Source organism: Homo sapiens, chromosome 18, assembly GCF_000001405.40.
Source record: "Homo sapiens chromosome 18, GRCh38.p14 Primary Assembly".
NCBI classification, from domain to species: Eukaryota; Metazoa; Chordata; class Mammalia; order Primates; family Hominidae; genus Homo; species Homo sapiens.
Genome location: NC_000018.10, coordinates 47,401,578 through 47,418,772, shown reverse-complemented (window position 1 = coordinate 47,418,772; position 17,195 = coordinate 47,401,578). Strand labels below are relative to the sequence as shown.

General features: G+C 49.3%; 1 long non-coding RNA gene across 1 annotated transcript in view, besides 2 other annotated features; it reads right to left on the bottom strand.

Annotated features, from left to right (window-relative positions):
- Nucleotides 1-17,195, bottom strand: part of MIR4527HG (MIR4527 host gene) — a 308,827-nt gene that overhangs the window by 175,778 nt on the left and 115,854 nt on the right. The window lies entirely within an intron of this gene.
- Nucleotides 8,535-9,035: an enhancer, noted in NCBI's record as "OCT4-NANOG-H3K4me1 hESC enhancer chr18:44936109-44936609 (GRCh37/hg19 assembly coordinates)". NCBI's record gives its function as "activates a minimal SCP1, AML or CMV promoter by ChIP-STARR-seq in primed H9 embryonic stem cells {active_cell/tissue: H9 hESC(primed)}" and the evidence as "EXISTENCE:reporter gene assay evidence [ECO:0000049][PMID:30033119]".
- Nucleotides 9,036-9,536: an enhancer, noted in NCBI's record as "OCT4-NANOG-H3K4me1 hESC enhancer chr18:44935608-44936108 (GRCh37/hg19 assembly coordinates)". NCBI's record gives its function as "activates a minimal SCP1, AML or CMV promoter by ChIP-STARR-seq in primed H9 embryonic stem cells {active_cell/tissue: H9 hESC(primed)}" and the evidence as "EXISTENCE:reporter gene assay evidence [ECO:0000049][PMID:30033119]".

Here is a 17,195-nt window from a genome sequence, read left to right as displayed (position 1 = left end):
GAAATTCAACCTCCCCTCCCCTTCAGGAGACCACTCCCTCTCCCTGGCATGTGGGAGGCTGCATTTTCTACTTCTCTCTCCAACGAGGAAAGTTTAATGGGAGCACAGGAGAGTCCTAGAGTTTTCCAGCTGGGGAGGGAAGGTGTCAGAGTTAAGATTCAAACCAACCTCCTGAATTCCTTGCCTACTTTTCTTGCCACTGAATCATGAAAGCCACGTGTGACACTGAGAAATGCCTATTACTCCAGCAACCCCAAAGGGGCAGAGCATTCAAGGACTATTTCTGGAGGAGATTAACGTTTCCATAAGTAAATTCTGGGAAAAGCAGGTTGCCCTCCCTACTGTAGGTGTGCCTCATTCAATCAACTGAAGACCTGAACAGAAGAGAAAGGCTGGGTAAGAGGGAACCTCAGCTGCCTGTGTGAGCTGGGATACTGACCTTTTCCAGCCTTCAGGCTTGGACTGAAACATTGGCTCTTCATGGGTCTCGAGCCTGCTGGCTTTCACACTGGAACTTACAAAGTCTGCTCTCCTGGGTCTGTAGTTTGCCAAGTGCAGATCTTGGGACTACTCAATCTCCATAATTGCATGAGCCAATTCCTGAAAATAAATACACACACACACACATACCACATACACATGCACACACACACACACACCACATACAAATGCACACACACACACACCACATACACATGCACACACACACACACATACCACACACACATGCACACACACACACACACACGATTGGTTCTGTTTCTCAGGAGAATGCTTACTAATACACCCACTTCAGCTAAAGTTTCCTGGTTTACAGTTTGACTCATCTGGCGATGCTAAGAGGTGGTTCTAGCCAGAGCTGCCCTGGTACTCAGTATCAGAGCATCAGAACAGGACAGCAATGAACACTGGCCACAAAAGAGTGAGAAAAAATACAGAAGGCCACCAAAAAGAGGTGCCAGAGGAAAAGAGAAAAGAAAGTCACGGGGCTTTCTGTGGGGAGCACAGAAAAGGTACACTTTGCCCCTCAAGTTGGAGGAACCCATGGGTTCGCAGGTCTGCTGGTAAGAAGGAAAGGGGATATCCGGGAGAAGAGAAGAGGGAATGAGAAGTCCCCTGTTCTGCACTGCCTCCTGTAAGTAACGCCACTCCCTCCCCTGGGCCCAGTGTCCTCCCAGCACACTGTGCCATTGCTGCCTCTTGGCTCCTTACTCGTGCATGAAATCCCCAGGGAAGGAGCCTATCTTCCTCATCTTGGCATCCCTAGCACTTGGCACAAGTAGGTGCCCAATATCAGTAGAAGTGGGTGTCTGTTGGTCAGATCCCCAAATGATAAGTCATTCAGTTTATTGTGTGAGGTGGGTCTGCTTGGAGAATGAAGAAAAAACCAGAGAGGATGAGTGAGAATGAGGGGTGGGAATTGGTTCCCAACAGCAGCCGCCTAAATCCTTGCAAGACAGTAAAGCACCATGGGAGACCAGTGCTCTGAAGCCAGACTGTGGGATTCAGATTCAATTATAGGGCTGACTACCTGTGTAGCCTTGGGCAAGTTTCTTAACCTTGCCGGTCGGTCCTCAGTTTCCTCCTCTGCAAAATGAGAGTAACAGTAGCACTCACTTCAGAGGATTGCTGGGAGGATTAGGTGAATTAAGGCAAGTAAAGTGCTTAGCACCGTGTCTGGCACATAAGCAGCACTAAATGTGTTTCATCAGTATCACCATCATCAGCATTTTGTGTAAGTCCATCAAGTGGCTCAAATTAGTTTTGTGACTAACCTGAACTGTGCAAGTTCTTTTGTAATATCCCACATGGAGATTCAACCTCCTATGGAGGCCACAGATCTGTCACCTGATTCTGACCCAGGGTCCATCCTCAAAGGACAGGTTAGACCCAAATGAGGACTGTAATCACAGCATGTCTCCAAAATCCCAAAAAATCCACAAATAAAGCTCCATGTATCAAAAAACTGGGAAGAGAAATATGAAGTCACCGAAAACATTCAGCCTTATTCAAGGATGGGGGTGGGGGGAGGATTATTTGTTTGTTTTTGCAAATATTAAACTTTTCAATTTTCTTATAACAGTGATGTTTTCATCAGAAAGCTGGAATTGGATGCCCAGATTATTATGAGACAGGCTGTGGCTTAATCTTCTCGATGTTTTTATATTTGAGAATAAAGAGGCATTTGGCACTTATCTAAAATTACAGCGGCAGAGAAGGAAAAAAGCCCTCACAGGTACGTGGCTGTGATGGCATACGTACATGTTTTTGAGTTCATTATGGAATCACAAAATCAAGACATCTCAGAGTTAGAAGAAGCCTCAGCATTTCTCTCTTCTAACACCTTCCTCTTACAGATGAGGGAAACTAAGGCCCACAGGAAGGCTATTAATCACCCGACCTCACTCAGTTATGGCAGCATAGCCAAGCTTTCTGGGTAGAGAGCTGTGAAATCCTTAAGCAGCGAGAAGGTATACCTCTTGTTTTCACAGGAAAATTCTCTCCACTTTGTGTCTCTGGACAGGAATGTTCCTCAGTCTTAATTTTGAGCCCCTGCATCGTCTGGTTCTGTCTAACCTCGCTCTCCATCTCTGCCTCCCATCCAGCCAGCAGTGTCTCCTCCGTCCTCCCTCAAGTTGCCTCCCACTTGAGTGGTTCACACACCCCCACTGCCAGCACTATCAGAAACTCTCCCATCCGCCCACCATGCTGATGCAAATTCTTCCTATCCTTCAAAGCCAAGTAGGAGGCAACTTCTTCTTTGAAGTTGCTTCCTATCACCATAGCACTCTGAGCACTGTCAATTCCTGAAACTGAAGAGCAAGTTCACAGTGCAGACCCAAGGCTGGGAGAACTAGGGTGGACAAAAAGAAGCCCCAAGGAATCCAACAACCCCAAGCCTCCCTCCCAGTTCTCCTCTGGGACTTCAGAAAAAGTATTTCCTCCCCAAGCCTCAGGTTTCACTATAAAAATGCTTAGCCTGCAGAGTTGTTTGAGAATTAAATAAAATTACACATGATAGCATACTAGGTACTCAGGTAATTGGAAGTTGTAAGTTAAAATGCATTATTTAGTTCACCAACATACAATATGCCTTTTTGTTCTACAGTTGGCTCTTACGCATGTGGGTTTTGTCATCTCAACTAGATCATAAGGAAATATAATCAAATTCCGTGGGAGCAGGAATTTTGTCCCTTTTACTCCCTCAAATACCCCAACTGTTTTGCCCAATGGCTGGCACATAGTAGGCACTCAGAATATATTTGTTGAATAACGTTTTAATGAAATAATGACCAAACTTTTCTTTCACCCCCTAAAGAATTTAGATGACAATAATAATAGTAAACGTTGTGTTTATATAGTGATGTATACTTTTTGGAGCATTTTCACGTGGAGAAATGTGTTTGCTACTCAGACGCTCCTGTGAAGGAAGAAGACCAGGTGTTATTATCTGTCCTGCTTCACAGGTGAGGCAAGTGAGATACAGAGCTGGGAAGTGGTGGAGATAAGGGGACACCCATTTCACAAATCCAGGTTCAGTCCATTTCCACGCTGCCACACCCAATGAGTGTTCATGGATGGACTGATTAATTTGGGTTCTGATTTTGATCAACCTGGTGAAGCATTTGATGACTGCATGAGTTCCCAGCTTCTAGAAGAAAGACATCTCTGAGAGTGGTGGCTGGATAAAGGGATGCCCAAGCAAAGAAGCTGGGCATTGGAAGGAAAGTGAATTAGAGAAACTCTTCCTTCAGCAAGACACATTTGTGCAGGGAAATCATGCTTGTCTGGGGAAGCCAATTGGAAAAGAATGATAGAGGGCCAGTTCCTGAGGTTCATCAAAGTCATTTGTTGCAGGTAAGCTCATTTTTCACAGGCCAAGGGGATATTTACCTGGAGTACACCTTTAAGGAATAGCCGACAGATTGAATGGTACAATGCTTTATTATATTTCACACCCTGGTGATTCAATATGTTGGAGGCAGAAGGCGGGGGGTGGGGATGGTGCTCAGGAGGGAGAGCAAAAGAGAAAGGCAGAAGAAAGAGATATGAAAATGTCCAGCCTTAGTGTGTACTTCTCAAGCACCCAGGGCCAGCCTCAACTGTGGCAGAAGGCACTGGAGGTGCACAAGCAGCTGTGCTCTGTGGAGGAGGCTGACCAGGGAGTGGGCATCTGACATAGGTTGACCTCATCCTTTTTCCCAACCACTTGCCCATGTCCCATGAGTCCTATTCAGTCCTGTCACCATTTCAGAAATGTTTTCACACAGTTCTGCAGACCTGCATTCTAGCCCTGGTTCTAGCACTATTTCAGCTGGGTGAGCTGAAGCGACACATTTCACTCCTGGGCTCCAGTTTCCTCATCTGTAAATGAGACTCTTCCCTAATGGTCCTTAGGCTCCTCCCAGTTACCTTACATTCTAGGATTCCAAATCAGCCCCAGTGACCGGCCTTTACCTGAACACGGCTGGCCCCCGTGGCAGCCCTCCTTCTCCAACCTCCACACCACTTGGCAATCCAGAACTCTGCCACAGGCATCCTCAGAAAGGCCAGTCTTGGCCCAGGCTCTGAAGGCAGGAGGGGTTATCCCCTTGACAGTCAGCATCTTTCAATAATTCCCATCCAGGAATTCATCTCAGCTCTCTGGGAAGCTATATTTTTAGCCCTTTCCACCATCTACAAAGTGACATCCCTTGAGCATGCCAGAGATCTTTGTGATTTCCACCATCCTCAAGTCTTCAAAGTGTCTATGGAGCCTATCTCATTTCTCATTGCATCTCATCTTCTCACTTAAGATTTCACCATTGCTCTTTGCCCCTTGTACCAAGGACGTACACTAAGGATGGAGGGCGCTCAGGGATGAATCAACCATCACCTCTGCCCTGGTACAAGTCGCAGTCTAGAGGGCCTAAAAGGGTTTATGCAAATATCTAGCATATGATGTCGTTTCCAGTGCCCACAAAGGTGAATAAGTCAAGGGTTATGGGAGTACCTGGGAATGAAGAAATGAATTCTGCCTGGAATTGAGAAGAAGGTTTCTCAGAGGAAGTGGCCTGGTGGGCTGAGGAGACCTCAGGCAGGCATGGATGTGTGTGCATGAGGGAGTGGGGAATAACCCAGCAAAAGGAACAGCATGGGCCAGGGAGGGGAGTGTCCAGAGGAGGAGCAGTTGGATGAGTATTTTGAGAAACCAGCCTCCTCAGAGAACACCCGCAGCTTTACTGCCCAGGATATGGTTAGTTCTCTATAGAGATGGGCATGGAGCCCAGGAACTCCAAGTACATGACATTTCCTGGGAATTAGTCCAGCAGTGGAAACAGCTTTGTTGAAACTCAGGTGGCCAGTGAGGTCGGCAGGCCAAGTGCACCAGGGCATCCCTGACTGTCCCCTGGATGCCACACCTGTGGAATCCAGCCTGCACCTAATTGCCTCTGGACATTCTGGAAACACAGGCTAATTACTAAATGCTTTAGTGATACTGGAACCCAAGCCAGTCTCCAGGGAAGAATCCCGGGGATGTCAGAGGTAGTGTATGCTTTTCTTTTCTTTTCTTTTCTTTTCTTTTCTTTTCTTTTCTTTAGGCATTGTGTAGCTCTGAGAGCTTTCTATATATCTGGCTTCTATGGTGACACAGTGACAGGAAAGAGACATGTCCAGCCCTCTCAAGCTCACAGCACAGTTACAAGGCAAGAAGCTCACATGAGAGATGACAAGAGAGTACACTCATAAAAAAAGGCAGAGTCAATGAGAGTTAGAGAGGCATGGAGCAGATTAAGAAAGAGAGATTTAGGCATGACCAATCTGGGAGGACCTCCTGAAGGAAGCAACTTTGGCCCCTAAGTAATGAGAAAAGGAGAATTTCTGCACCAGTGGTTGTACCAGTCATCTATTACCACATTAATGCTGCATAACAAACCATCACAAAACTCAGAGGCTTAAAACAGCAATCACCTACTCTCATTGATCCAGGCTGGACCCTTGGCTCAAAGCTGCAGGTCGGGTCCAGGTGCCCACATTGGTTTCTCATCCTCCTTGCACCAGCTGGCCAGTTGAAACAAGTTCTTATGACCACAGCAAAACACAAGGGGCATGTTAACGTCTTATCTGCTAACGTCCCATTGGCCAAAGCAAATCAGATGGCCACGCATTTAATAAAGGAAGGAAGGGAGGTGAGGTACACACTTTGTCCACCGTGAAGTCAAAGCAAGTCACATAGACAAGCCTAACATCATTCAGGCAAGGAAGTGTGTATGGAGGGCGCAGGGGTGTGTGGGAAGAAGGCAAATTTTTAAAAATCTACTACAGTTATTAGAGAACGGAAAGATATCCCACCTGGAAGAACCAGATAAGCAAAGATACAGAGGCAAATCTGAATCTGGTGTAGAAATGGAGCCAGGAGGAAATGTGCCACCCAAATTGAGCTACAAAAAAAAAAAGGTGTAAAATACAGTCCCAGGGTGGGCAGTAAAGACGGTGGAGACCCACCTGCCTCTGGAAAAGAGGGTGGGCATGAGGCTGGGGGAATAAGTGGGTGGCAAACCCGCTAACACTGTCTTCCTGTGCCCTTGTCTCTTCTTGATGAACTAAGAAATTATGAATTGGAAGCAAGAGAGTTCAAGCCTGCAGGATCTACTTCCTGGGAAAATATTACAACTCACTGAGCTCCTACCTCCTCCTCCATGAAGATTTCCAAGGTTTACCCAGCCCTGGGCTCTCTCCCTTCTCTGAGCAGGGAACAAACACACATATGGGCAGTGCACCTGGGCATCCAAAAGGCACTCCGTTGCCTGCTTAGATCATTCCCATGTGAGCATCTGTCTTGACTTCCCAGCTAGACTCTCAGCTACCAGAGGCCTGGGACTGTATTTTACACCTTTTTTTCTTTTCTTTTTTTTTTTTTTTTTTGTAGTCTCTAAACAGCAAGAGCTATATAACCACATGTGGAATAAATGACTGAAGAGTAGACGGTGCTAAGAGAGTCAGGCAGCACCATTCTGGAATAGGAAACTGGAGAAAGGTCAGCTGGACCAGTCACAATCAAGACAGTCCTATTAATAGAAAAAGCAAACATTATTTAGGGACAGGAGCGTGAAATGGGAAAGGGGAAGAACACTTGCAGGTGGATGGAAACTCAGCCTAGTGTGAAAGCACAACCTTGAGCAGAAATGAAATTGCTGGGGAGGTTGTTCCTAAAGAAATGTGGTTGCAGGTAATGGCCCCAGGGAAAGCTTCCATGGCAAATCAGTCTATCAGCCACCTCCTGCAGAGGCCAGAGAGGTGTGGCTGGCAGTACAGACACATGGGACATGCTTGTGCAAAATCTTACCAGCTACACCAGGATGGCTGTCCAGCAGTCACACCTGCCCCGTGCCAGGATTTGCCCTGCCTTGTGCTTAAACTTCCTCCCACTGAAATGAAAGCCTTCCCACTTCACCTCCTCCAGGAAGCCCTCCAGGATAGATAAGACCACAACACTGACTTAATTTCAAATAAAGCACACAAGTTCTCCTTCATTGATAATTCACTTAATATGTTTTACTCAACTCCTGATAACAGTTTTTAATATTGTTTCTCATGTATCAGCCTTGTACCTTAATGAAAGTAGATACCATAGTTTCTCTTTCCTACAGCCCACTCCTCCAGGCTGGGCACATGCCTAGTTCTTGTTGAATTCCCTTCAGCAGAATATGGGGTAAATATGTGACAATATTGATGAAGACCAAAGACACCAAACAGAAACCCAGAACCTTCAGATTGAAGCAAGAGATTTGACATGAACAGTGTTATCTTAATGGGAGCACCTATGAGAAGGAAAGCACTGTCAGTGACAGAGCTCCCACCAACTTCGTACCTGGGCACGACCCCAACCCCCTCCTGTCTGTGTGGGGCCCGGGGCAGTAAGCTAGCCTGCAGAGAGGAAAGGGAAGAGACAGGGAGGTTCCTGTGATGCTGCTTCACCCCTGGGCTCTTTACCAGGCTTCCATCTTTCCTCATAAACGTGGCCTCCGCTCAGGTTCTTTCTGCCCCACACAAGCCCTTGAAACTGTCCTGACTACAGCAAATCCGTCCCATCTCTCCTCTAATGCAGGGGGACGAGGATGGCTTGTGTCCCCCTATGCTCTTTTCTTTTTAGTGCAAGTTCCTCTTGCAAACTCCCAGGACTTTTCTCCCACCTTGGTCAGGACAGAGCAAGGCCAGGCTGCTCAGACCGCCAGCCTCCCCTCCTAGGGGAGCTGTGGAGCTGGGTCAAAAAAGGGACCCCAAGGCTGGAGTCTCTGGTCCACGTGCAGTCATCATAAGGCTTTCAAAGGCCCGGTCCCAACACTGTGTCTTCCAGGAAGTGATCCTTGGGTACCAGGCCCCATGCCAGTATCTCACAATACCACCCAGGCACAGGCTCCAGCCCATGAGGGATTACAGGTGTTAATTCATGTTCTCCCCACACTGGCCAATCAGTTCCTGAAAGGCCTCCTCTCTTGGCTCCTCCAGGGGCCTGGCCCAGTCCTCCAAGCAAGAGGTCATGTCCATTTGACCCGACATCTCTGCCCAGAGAGACCCCCAGGCACTGCTATCCCAGGGTCTGTATCTACCTACAACCTGGATGAAAACAGCCCACAGGGCCGGGCGCGGTGGCTCACTTCCTGTAATCCCAGCACTTTGGGAGGCAGAGGCGGGCAGATCACCTGAGGTCAGGAGTTCAAGACCAGCCTGGCCAATATGGTGAAACCCCATCTCTACTAAAAATACAAAAATTAGCTGGTCATGGTGGCAGATGCCTGTATTCCCAGCTACTCAGGAGGCTGAGGCAGAAGAATCACTTGAACCTGGGAGGCAAAGGTTGCAGTGAGCTGAGATAGCGCCACTGAACTCCAGCCTGGGCAACAGAGCGAGACTCCTTCTCAAAAAAAAAAAAAAAAATTAGGCCTCCAGCCTGGCCTGGCCCCTGCAAAGGCAGGTGTCCTAAATGTCCCCTGCAGGGGCTTAATTGCCCCTTATTGAAAACCATTGTTTTGCATCACCCTCCACAGCCCAGGGCCCCTGTTGGCTGGCTGATGGGATTGTTGGTTTTCTTGGCAAAATGACCTCGCTTTGGGGTTGAAGAAGTCATAGGCGAGTGGAAGTCAGTACGTCGGGGTCCTGGTGAAGCTGTGGGTGGCTGTGTGCTGCATTCCAAGCACACTGGAAGCTGCACCTCCTTTTCGGAGGTTGATTCTTAGGCCACAAATGGTTACACTAGGGATTAATGAGAGGAAGCTGGAACAGACCCTTCACGCCCACCCTGGTGTCTTCACCTACCAGGTATAGAGTTTCTTACTGTGTATCAATTTGGTGGAAGAGTTTCTTATTCCTTAGGGAGAAGTGATTATTCACACGCACACACACTCACACTTACACAACCATTCTCTGCCATTTTCTCTGGCATAAAGTGGAATCAGGGATTCCTGGTTTTTTGTTTAAAAAAGGCCCGCATTTCTATCCTGCCTTTATCTTTGCAAATGATTTTCATAACTAGTATTTGTAAACCTTCTATTTTTTTAACTCCCTTTCTAAGGTAGGCAGGTAGTTATTGTTAGTGCCATTGAAAACACTAGGCCCCATGAGATTAAGTAGCTCTCTGCAGCCAGGAAACATTGCTGGTCAGAAGCAGTGCTCGGGGTGAACATCCTATAATGTGCAGGATAGTCCCCCCCCAGCCAAGAACTATTCGGCTCCAAATGTCAACAGAGTAAAGAAGGAGTGTGAAGCCAGGGTTGTAGGCCCAGGTCCTCCACTAACTTGCTGTGTGATGTAGGCCAAGTTCCCTCACCTCTCTGGAGTCCATGCTCTCTGTGGTCTCTTGTGGCTCTGGTATCAGGACAAGCACTGCTTGGTCTGCTAATCCCTCCTCCCTCTTGTTATGAATGCTCCTCCTATGCCCCACCTCTAACCTGTACATCCAGTGGGGGCATCATGACCCCACCACCACTTGACCACAGACACCCTCCTCTGGCCAGGGTTGAATGGCCCATGGGTAGCCACAGAACCCAGGTCAGGCCAGAGACCCTCCCTGAGATTTTCAGCTTGGAATTAGAGACAAAGACCTCTCTCTGGAAGCCATGGCAGACTATGTTTCCACTAGATAGAAGAGGAAGCCTACCTGAGAGGCACAAGCCAACTTACAGAGAAATGCAAAGCTGAGCTCTGGAGTGTGTGAGAACCAGCCCTGGCAGCACGTGAGGCCCAGCCACACCCTGGCTTTCCTGACATTTAGTTATAGGAGCCAAGTGATTTCTCTTTTGGTTTTATCACTTGCAACAAACTATTCCTGCCTAACCTCCACCCCCTTCCCCTTCCCCTTCTCAGGTACCCACCCACAGCATCAAGCTTTCTTGCCTCCTTTGCAACTAGCAATCACAAGACCTGGTCTAGACACTGAGACATCAGCAGATGCCTACTGGGGACGCCTCTTTCTTCCTGTCTTGAATAGTCAGCACTCTGGCCCAAGCTGTTAATTCTAGTTGCCAATGTATTTTTTATTTTAAGAAAAAAAAAACTTGTATATTTTCAAGACTTAAGTCATTGCGTTTCTGTGTTGTGCAGCCCAAAGCACTCCAGCTACGCTGGTGAAGGAGTCTCCTTTAACAGGGATGGAGGAGCAAGTGGACGGGGGCAGGAACTCCAACCCACTGTGCCTTTCCCTCTGTTGGCGCCTACCTGCTTGCAAAGATTTGAAACACTGACATCAAAAATTTGGGGCATCAGAACAGTCCAGCTGTGCCACTGTTTGACTTGGGAGAAAGCCTGGCAGTCCTCAGGCCAAGGGGGGGCCAGTGAAGGGAAGTGTCACAGCATAATACTGACAAAGTAAAGCATCTAGTCTGGATAATCCTCTTAAGTCAAAAAAGAAAATAACCAGTGCAATTGATGATCCCAGGACTGAGCCAGGGAGCACACAGAATATTTCTACCCAGTGAGCAGGGGGTTTGAAGGATCAGGTGAGGCTTGGAGGTCTGGAGGTCAGGCCAGAGGTCATCTGGAAGGGCCTGGCCTCTCTTCTGACTGGGTCTCTTGCCCTGCTCCAGGCCAAATATGCTGATCAGGCTGGGCCCCTCAGGCCTCCCAGGGATCCTGAAGAAGAGGGAGGCAGGAGGTCTCTGCTAGGCATGTCCTGTCAGGAAATTTAGACCCCTCTCATCTGCAAAATGAGAGTCCACCAGAAAGCATTTCACAAAACTTCACCTGGAAGTTTTGTTAAAGCTGGAAGTCATGTTAGAGATTGTCTAGTCCAACCACTTATCCAAAAGTGGCGGGACTGAGGTTTAGAGAGGGAAAGGGTCTTGATCTCAGGCACCCAGCACAGGGATGACAGAACTGGGTCAGGGACCTGAACCTCCTGGCTTCTCCTCTCAGGCATTTCTCACTGCAAAACTCTCCCTCTCATTTGTTGAATTATTTGTTAGGCTCAAGAAATTGCACTAGGATGCACTAGAGTGAGAAGCATCCTAGTCAGGGAAGAATGTAAAAGCATATCAGCTACCTACTGCTGTGTAACAAATTAACCCACAACTTCGTGGTTGACAGCAACAAACATTTATTATCTCACGGTTTCTGTGGATCAGGAACCTGGGGGCTACTGAGCTGGGTGGTCCTGGCTCAGGGTCTCTCATGAGGTTGCAATCCAGCTGGAGACTGAAGCCTGGTAAGGATTCTCAGCATGGAGAAAGTGGGGAACAGCAGGGATCCAATGAAAGGGGATGATGAATCTGGGATTAGAAGGAGTTGAGTGAGGCCAAAGTGAAGAAGTGCTGAGAGGTGAGGCCAGGGAAGCTGCAATTTCCATTTCCTCATCACTTCTCTCAGGAAGACTTCTCCCCGCTTTCAAACTACTCTACTTGCACCCTGGCTCCCTAAGCTTCCCACTCTACCGACAGCATAGCTGTGTTGTCTCTCAGTGTCCCTCCCTTGCTCTTATACGTTGCAAGATCAGCAATATAAAATAATGGTGATCATGACAATAGGTAACAATTACTCAGCTCTTACCAAGTAGATGCCAGGCCATAGGCTAAGCACTGATGTAAGCAGGACAGTATTTTCAGATAAAAACTGGCTTTTGCTTTCCCCCATGTGTCTGTCTTCCTCCGATGTCTCTAGCCCCGTGAATCAGGCTAATAGGACCAGCTTAGAACAAGGTCAGTGGAGTGGCCAAATGGATGTTTTAACTCACTGAAGAAATACTAGTCCTGAAAGTATTTCATGTTAAGGAATTAGAAGCTTGACTAAGACACAAGGCTTTTTAGGCCAAAAGCCTGACTTTGGCTTCTCACTATCCACGGGGCTGGAGGGCTCTGTGCCCAGAGGCTACACTGGACCCTCAGTGCAGGGAAGAACGATGCTGACAGACAGTTCTCACTCAAAGGAAAAATATTGAGCAGCCGGCAGGAGGAGGAAGAGAGCATGACTATGGCTTAGCAATCACTGCCAAAGTCACTGAGACGGGGTTCAGCACCCAACAGGCCCCGAATATCAGGGCAGACCAGACAAGAGAGACCAGAGAAGGCGGAGTGTCCTGGCATCCTGGAGTGTGGAGCAGGAGCCCCTAAGCCTGGTCTGCACCTCACCTGGCACCTGTTTGTCCAGGTAGCAAAGGTTGGAGGGGGTATCTGGGCTGACCGGCCTGAGGGTGCCTCACAGCACTCAGTGTGTGTTGGGAGAGGGGTGTACACACACCTGCGTGTGCTGGACAAGCCACACACACACAGATACACAAGCACACTGCTGCCCCTTCCTCTAGACTAAAATGGCTCTCAGAAAAAAAGGGAAAGAGAAGGAGAAGAGGGAGAATCCTGGATTTACTAGTATTTCCCCCAAAGAGACTGCATTTAAAATGGGCAGAGATGACTTTGAGTTGGCAGAATTACTTTCCTCCCTATGGATACAGAGCTCACGAGGTAAGCTAAATTTGGAAAAATGAAGTTAGTTTTGCCTACCTTCCCACTTACCCTCCCTGCCTCACCTTCTCCCTATCTCCCCAGGCCATGTGGACCCATGAATTCCCCTCAGCCCTCTCACTGCACCACTGGCCTCTGGCCAGGTTCTCCACTCCCACTGCCCTCATCCTCTGGGCTGGCAACTTTCTCCTAAGCCTGACCCTCCCCACGCACCTGGGCACCTGCAGTTCAGCAGGCGGGTGGAGAATATGCTGGACGCACAGAGAACAGCCTGGGTTCCAGATGGCTCCAACATCAACAGGCCACAAGACCACAGGCAGGTCATTAGACATCTCAAGCTCAGTCTCCGTGTCATAAAAATGGAAACACTGGTGATTAAAAAAACAAACAAACCAAAAAAAAAAAAAAAAAACCCTCTTCATGCACAGTTGCTGTGAGGCATGAAATGATGGAAGTATTGGATGAAGTCAGAGAGCTTGCCACCTTCCCAGACACGGTTCTAAGCACCTTCTATGAATTAGCTCATCCAGAGCTCACAAACCAATAATGTGGATTCTTCTAGTCACCTCAGTTCACAGACGGGGCAACGGAGTTGTAGAGAGTGTTCAGTGACTTGCTTCAGGCCACACAACTTCAGTTAGTGGCGGAGCCAAGGTCTGAGCCCAGGCTGTCAGCGGCTGTTGCTCACCCACCTGCCTCTCTCCAGGGAGCCTCCCATCTCCTCACATCCAGGAGACTCTGCTAGCCTCCTGCTAGCCTCCGCCAGCTGCCCCTACCCATCCTAGTGGTTTGCTAGTGGTAATGGGCCAGCTTGCATTTTTACCCCCAGGCACCCAGTAGAGCTCTATGGTCCTCCTGCATTGTAATGTAGACAAGCTGGGGGCATTGACACAAAGGACCAAAGCAGGAGAAGGGTCCCTGATGCCCCCATGTGTGACAGGTGTTAACCCTTTGGTTGCTGGATTGGGAAGAGATGGTGGATGAAGAAGTCACAGGCAGGAGAGGAACCAGAGCCATGGAGAGGGCACCCCAGGGGTTTGGGCAGCCAATATAAACTTACTTTAATGTCACAACCTGTAGGGCTCTCTGGGACTTGCCAGCTGATTATTGATACTGGAGCTTGTATCCAGTGAAGTGCAAAGCTGGGGCTAGAAGGCTGGCCTCCTGGTGCTTTTTACTATCCCAGGCAGCCCCTAAACTGGGCCCTTGAGAAACACGGCTTCACATGTGCACGGCATCTCTTCCTTAGTCATTGGCTCTCCTGTTGTCCTCAGCTGCCTCTCGACCTCACCCAACAGCTCACAGACCCAAGTGTGATTCTCCAGCAGCACAACTTCCAAGGGTGCAACCTGCCAGACACTCACCCTTCCTTGGCTGGACCCCAAATCCCTGGACCCACCCCTGCTCTTAGCAGCATGTTAGTAAATGACTCTCCAGGGGCCTGATAGAGAGCGTTTGCTGGTTCCCATGGTGTGAATACTCCCACCATGGCCAGTTTCAAGCTACTAATGTTTAAATGTTTGTTTGTTGTAAACAAACACCACTGTTTGTCGCATAGTTCATTGTATAGTTAACCATCAGCTCTTGTAAGCTGGCAGAGGCAGTTCCAACACACCCTCCCCAACCTGCTCAGAGACCAGCAGGCCTAGAGAGTAAGTGGGAGGCTCTGCGGGGGATGCCGTGCCCACCACTGGGTCAGGGCAGGACATGCTCTCTTCATTCCACTACCCACCTCCAAGCCCACATACCCTGAAGTTAAAGCAATGAAGAATCTTTATTCCCATTTCCCTACACCCATGGGTGGAGAGAACAAGCTGCCACTGATCTCAACCATTAGTAGATATAATTGTAGACATAGATATATAGACATAAATATTTCTTTTGTGTCTCATGTATTTTGCAACCTAATGAGAATAAAAAATGGATATATATAATTATAATTACTATATTTAAGATTATCCCTGATAGAAGCATCTAGATTATACTCCCCAACTGTGAGAAGGCTTCTGCTGCAGCCAGCATCATCTTCCAGGGTTCATGGTTTTCCCTCCCTTCTGGGGGGCTCCCATTCCCCAGGCCCATTAGCAGACAGTGAGCCCTCGTAAGCAGCCACTGACGCATACAAACAGTTGCTGGTGGGCCCACCGTTTGTTTGCTTTTCAAAAGCGTGAAGGTTGAGTTGAGTCATTTTGCACCCAATTACTTTGCAGTAAATTTGCCAGATGGTTCTTGTCCTCTGGTATTGATCCAGCATCTCACCTTGAGCTTGTTTATTGACACATCAAATTCAGGAGTCAGGCCCGCTCGATTGACCACTTCCCAATTAGGGCATTTATATGATGTCACCAAGGCTCCCTGTCATGTTCCGATGAGAGACATTTGTCCCCCCAACCACGGTCCCTGCCCAATCACCTGCAACTGAGTTGCCACTTTTCTCTGACCTTTCCAGAGACAGATGGCAGTCCATAAAATACATCATTAGCAAAGTGTCATTTCGTCTTGCTGCTTTTTCTTCACGTGAAAGGTGTTTCATTCAACAAAAGATTCTGCAGTTGCATTCACCCCAGCTCACACTACTTCTTTGCTGGAGGTGTAGATGTTGGAAACCAATGCTTCCTCTCTCCTCGGGGGTGTCCCTGAGCCCTCTTGGAATAGAGGCATTTGAGCAGTGACATAGAGCAGACTGCAGGTAGGGAAGAGCTGAGATGAGGGTGCAAGTATCAAAAACACATCAGATGTCAAAAAGACAGGGCCAGGGAGTGCAGGGATGCGTTCAGACCCAGGCAGTCTCCTGGGTGACTTTCCTCAGTCTGTGTTGGGTGGTTATCTCAGCATGTCCTGAGTGTGTGTGGTGGTGGGAAGATGATTGTGGAAAGGCACAGTGCGGTGGCCCCGGTGGGAGGATGATTGTGGAAAGGCACAGTGTGGTGGCCCCAGTGGGAGGATGATTGTGGAAAGGCACAGTGCGGTGGCCCCAGGTGGGAGGATGATTGTGGAAAGGCACAGTGCGGTGGCCCCGGTGGGAGGATGACTGTGGAAAGGCACAGTGTGGTGGCCCTGGGTAGAAGGATGATTGTGGAAAGGCACAGTGTGGTGGCCCCGGGTGGGAAGATGATTGTGGAAAGGCACAGTGCGGTGGCCCCGGCTGGGAAGATGACTGTGGAAAGGCACAGTGCGGTGGCCCCGGCTGGGAGGATGATTGTGGAAAGGCACAGTGCGGTGGCCCCGGGTGGGAGGATGATTGTGGAAAGTCACAGTGCGGTGGCCCCGGGTGGGAGGATGATTGTGGAAAGTCACAGTGCGGTGGCCCCGGGTGGGAGGATGATTGTGGAAAGGCACAGTGTGGTGGCCCTGGGTGGGAGGGTGATTTTGGAAAGGCACAGTGTGGTGGCCCTGGGTGGGAGGATGATTGTCGAAAGGCACAGTGTGGTGGCCCTGGGTGGGAGGGTGATTTTGGAAAGGCACAGTGCGGTGGCCCCGGGTGGGAGGATGATTGTGGAAAGGCACAGTGCGGTGGCCCCGGTGGGAGGATGACTGTGGAAAGGCACAGTGTGGTGGCCCTGGGTGGGAGGGTGATTTTGGAAAGGCACAGTGTGGTGGCCCCAGTGGGAGGATGACTGTGGAAAGGCACAGTGTGGTGGCCCCGGGTGGGAAGATGATTGTGGAAAGGCACAGTGCGGTGGCCCCGGGTGGGAAGATGATTGTGGAAAGTCACAGTGCGGTGGCCCCGGGTGGGAAGATGATTGTGGAAAGTCACAGTGCGGTGGCCCCGGGTGGGAGGATGATTGTGGAAAGGCACAGTGCGGTGGCCCCGGGTGGGAAGATGATTGTGGAAAGTCACAGTGCGGTGGCCCCGGGTGGGAGGATGATTGTGGAAAGGCACAGTGTGGTGGCCCTGGGTGGGAGGATGATTGTGAAAAGGCACAGTGCAGTGGCCCCGGGTGGGAAGATGATTGTGGAAAGGCACAGTGCGGTGGCCCCGGGTGGGAGGATGATTGTGGAAAGGCACAGTGTGGTGGCCCCAGTGGGAGGATGATTGTGGAAAGGCACAGTGTGGTGGCGCTGGGTGGGAGGATGATTGTGGAAAGGCACAGTGCGGTGGCCCCGGGTGGGAGGATGGTTGTGGAAAGGCACAGTGCGGTGGCCCCGGGTGGGAGGATGATTGTGGAAAGTCACAGTGCGGTGGCCCCGGGTGGGAGGATGATTGCGGAAAGGCACAGTGTGGTGGCCCCAGTGGGAGGATGATTGTGGAAAGGCACAGTGTGG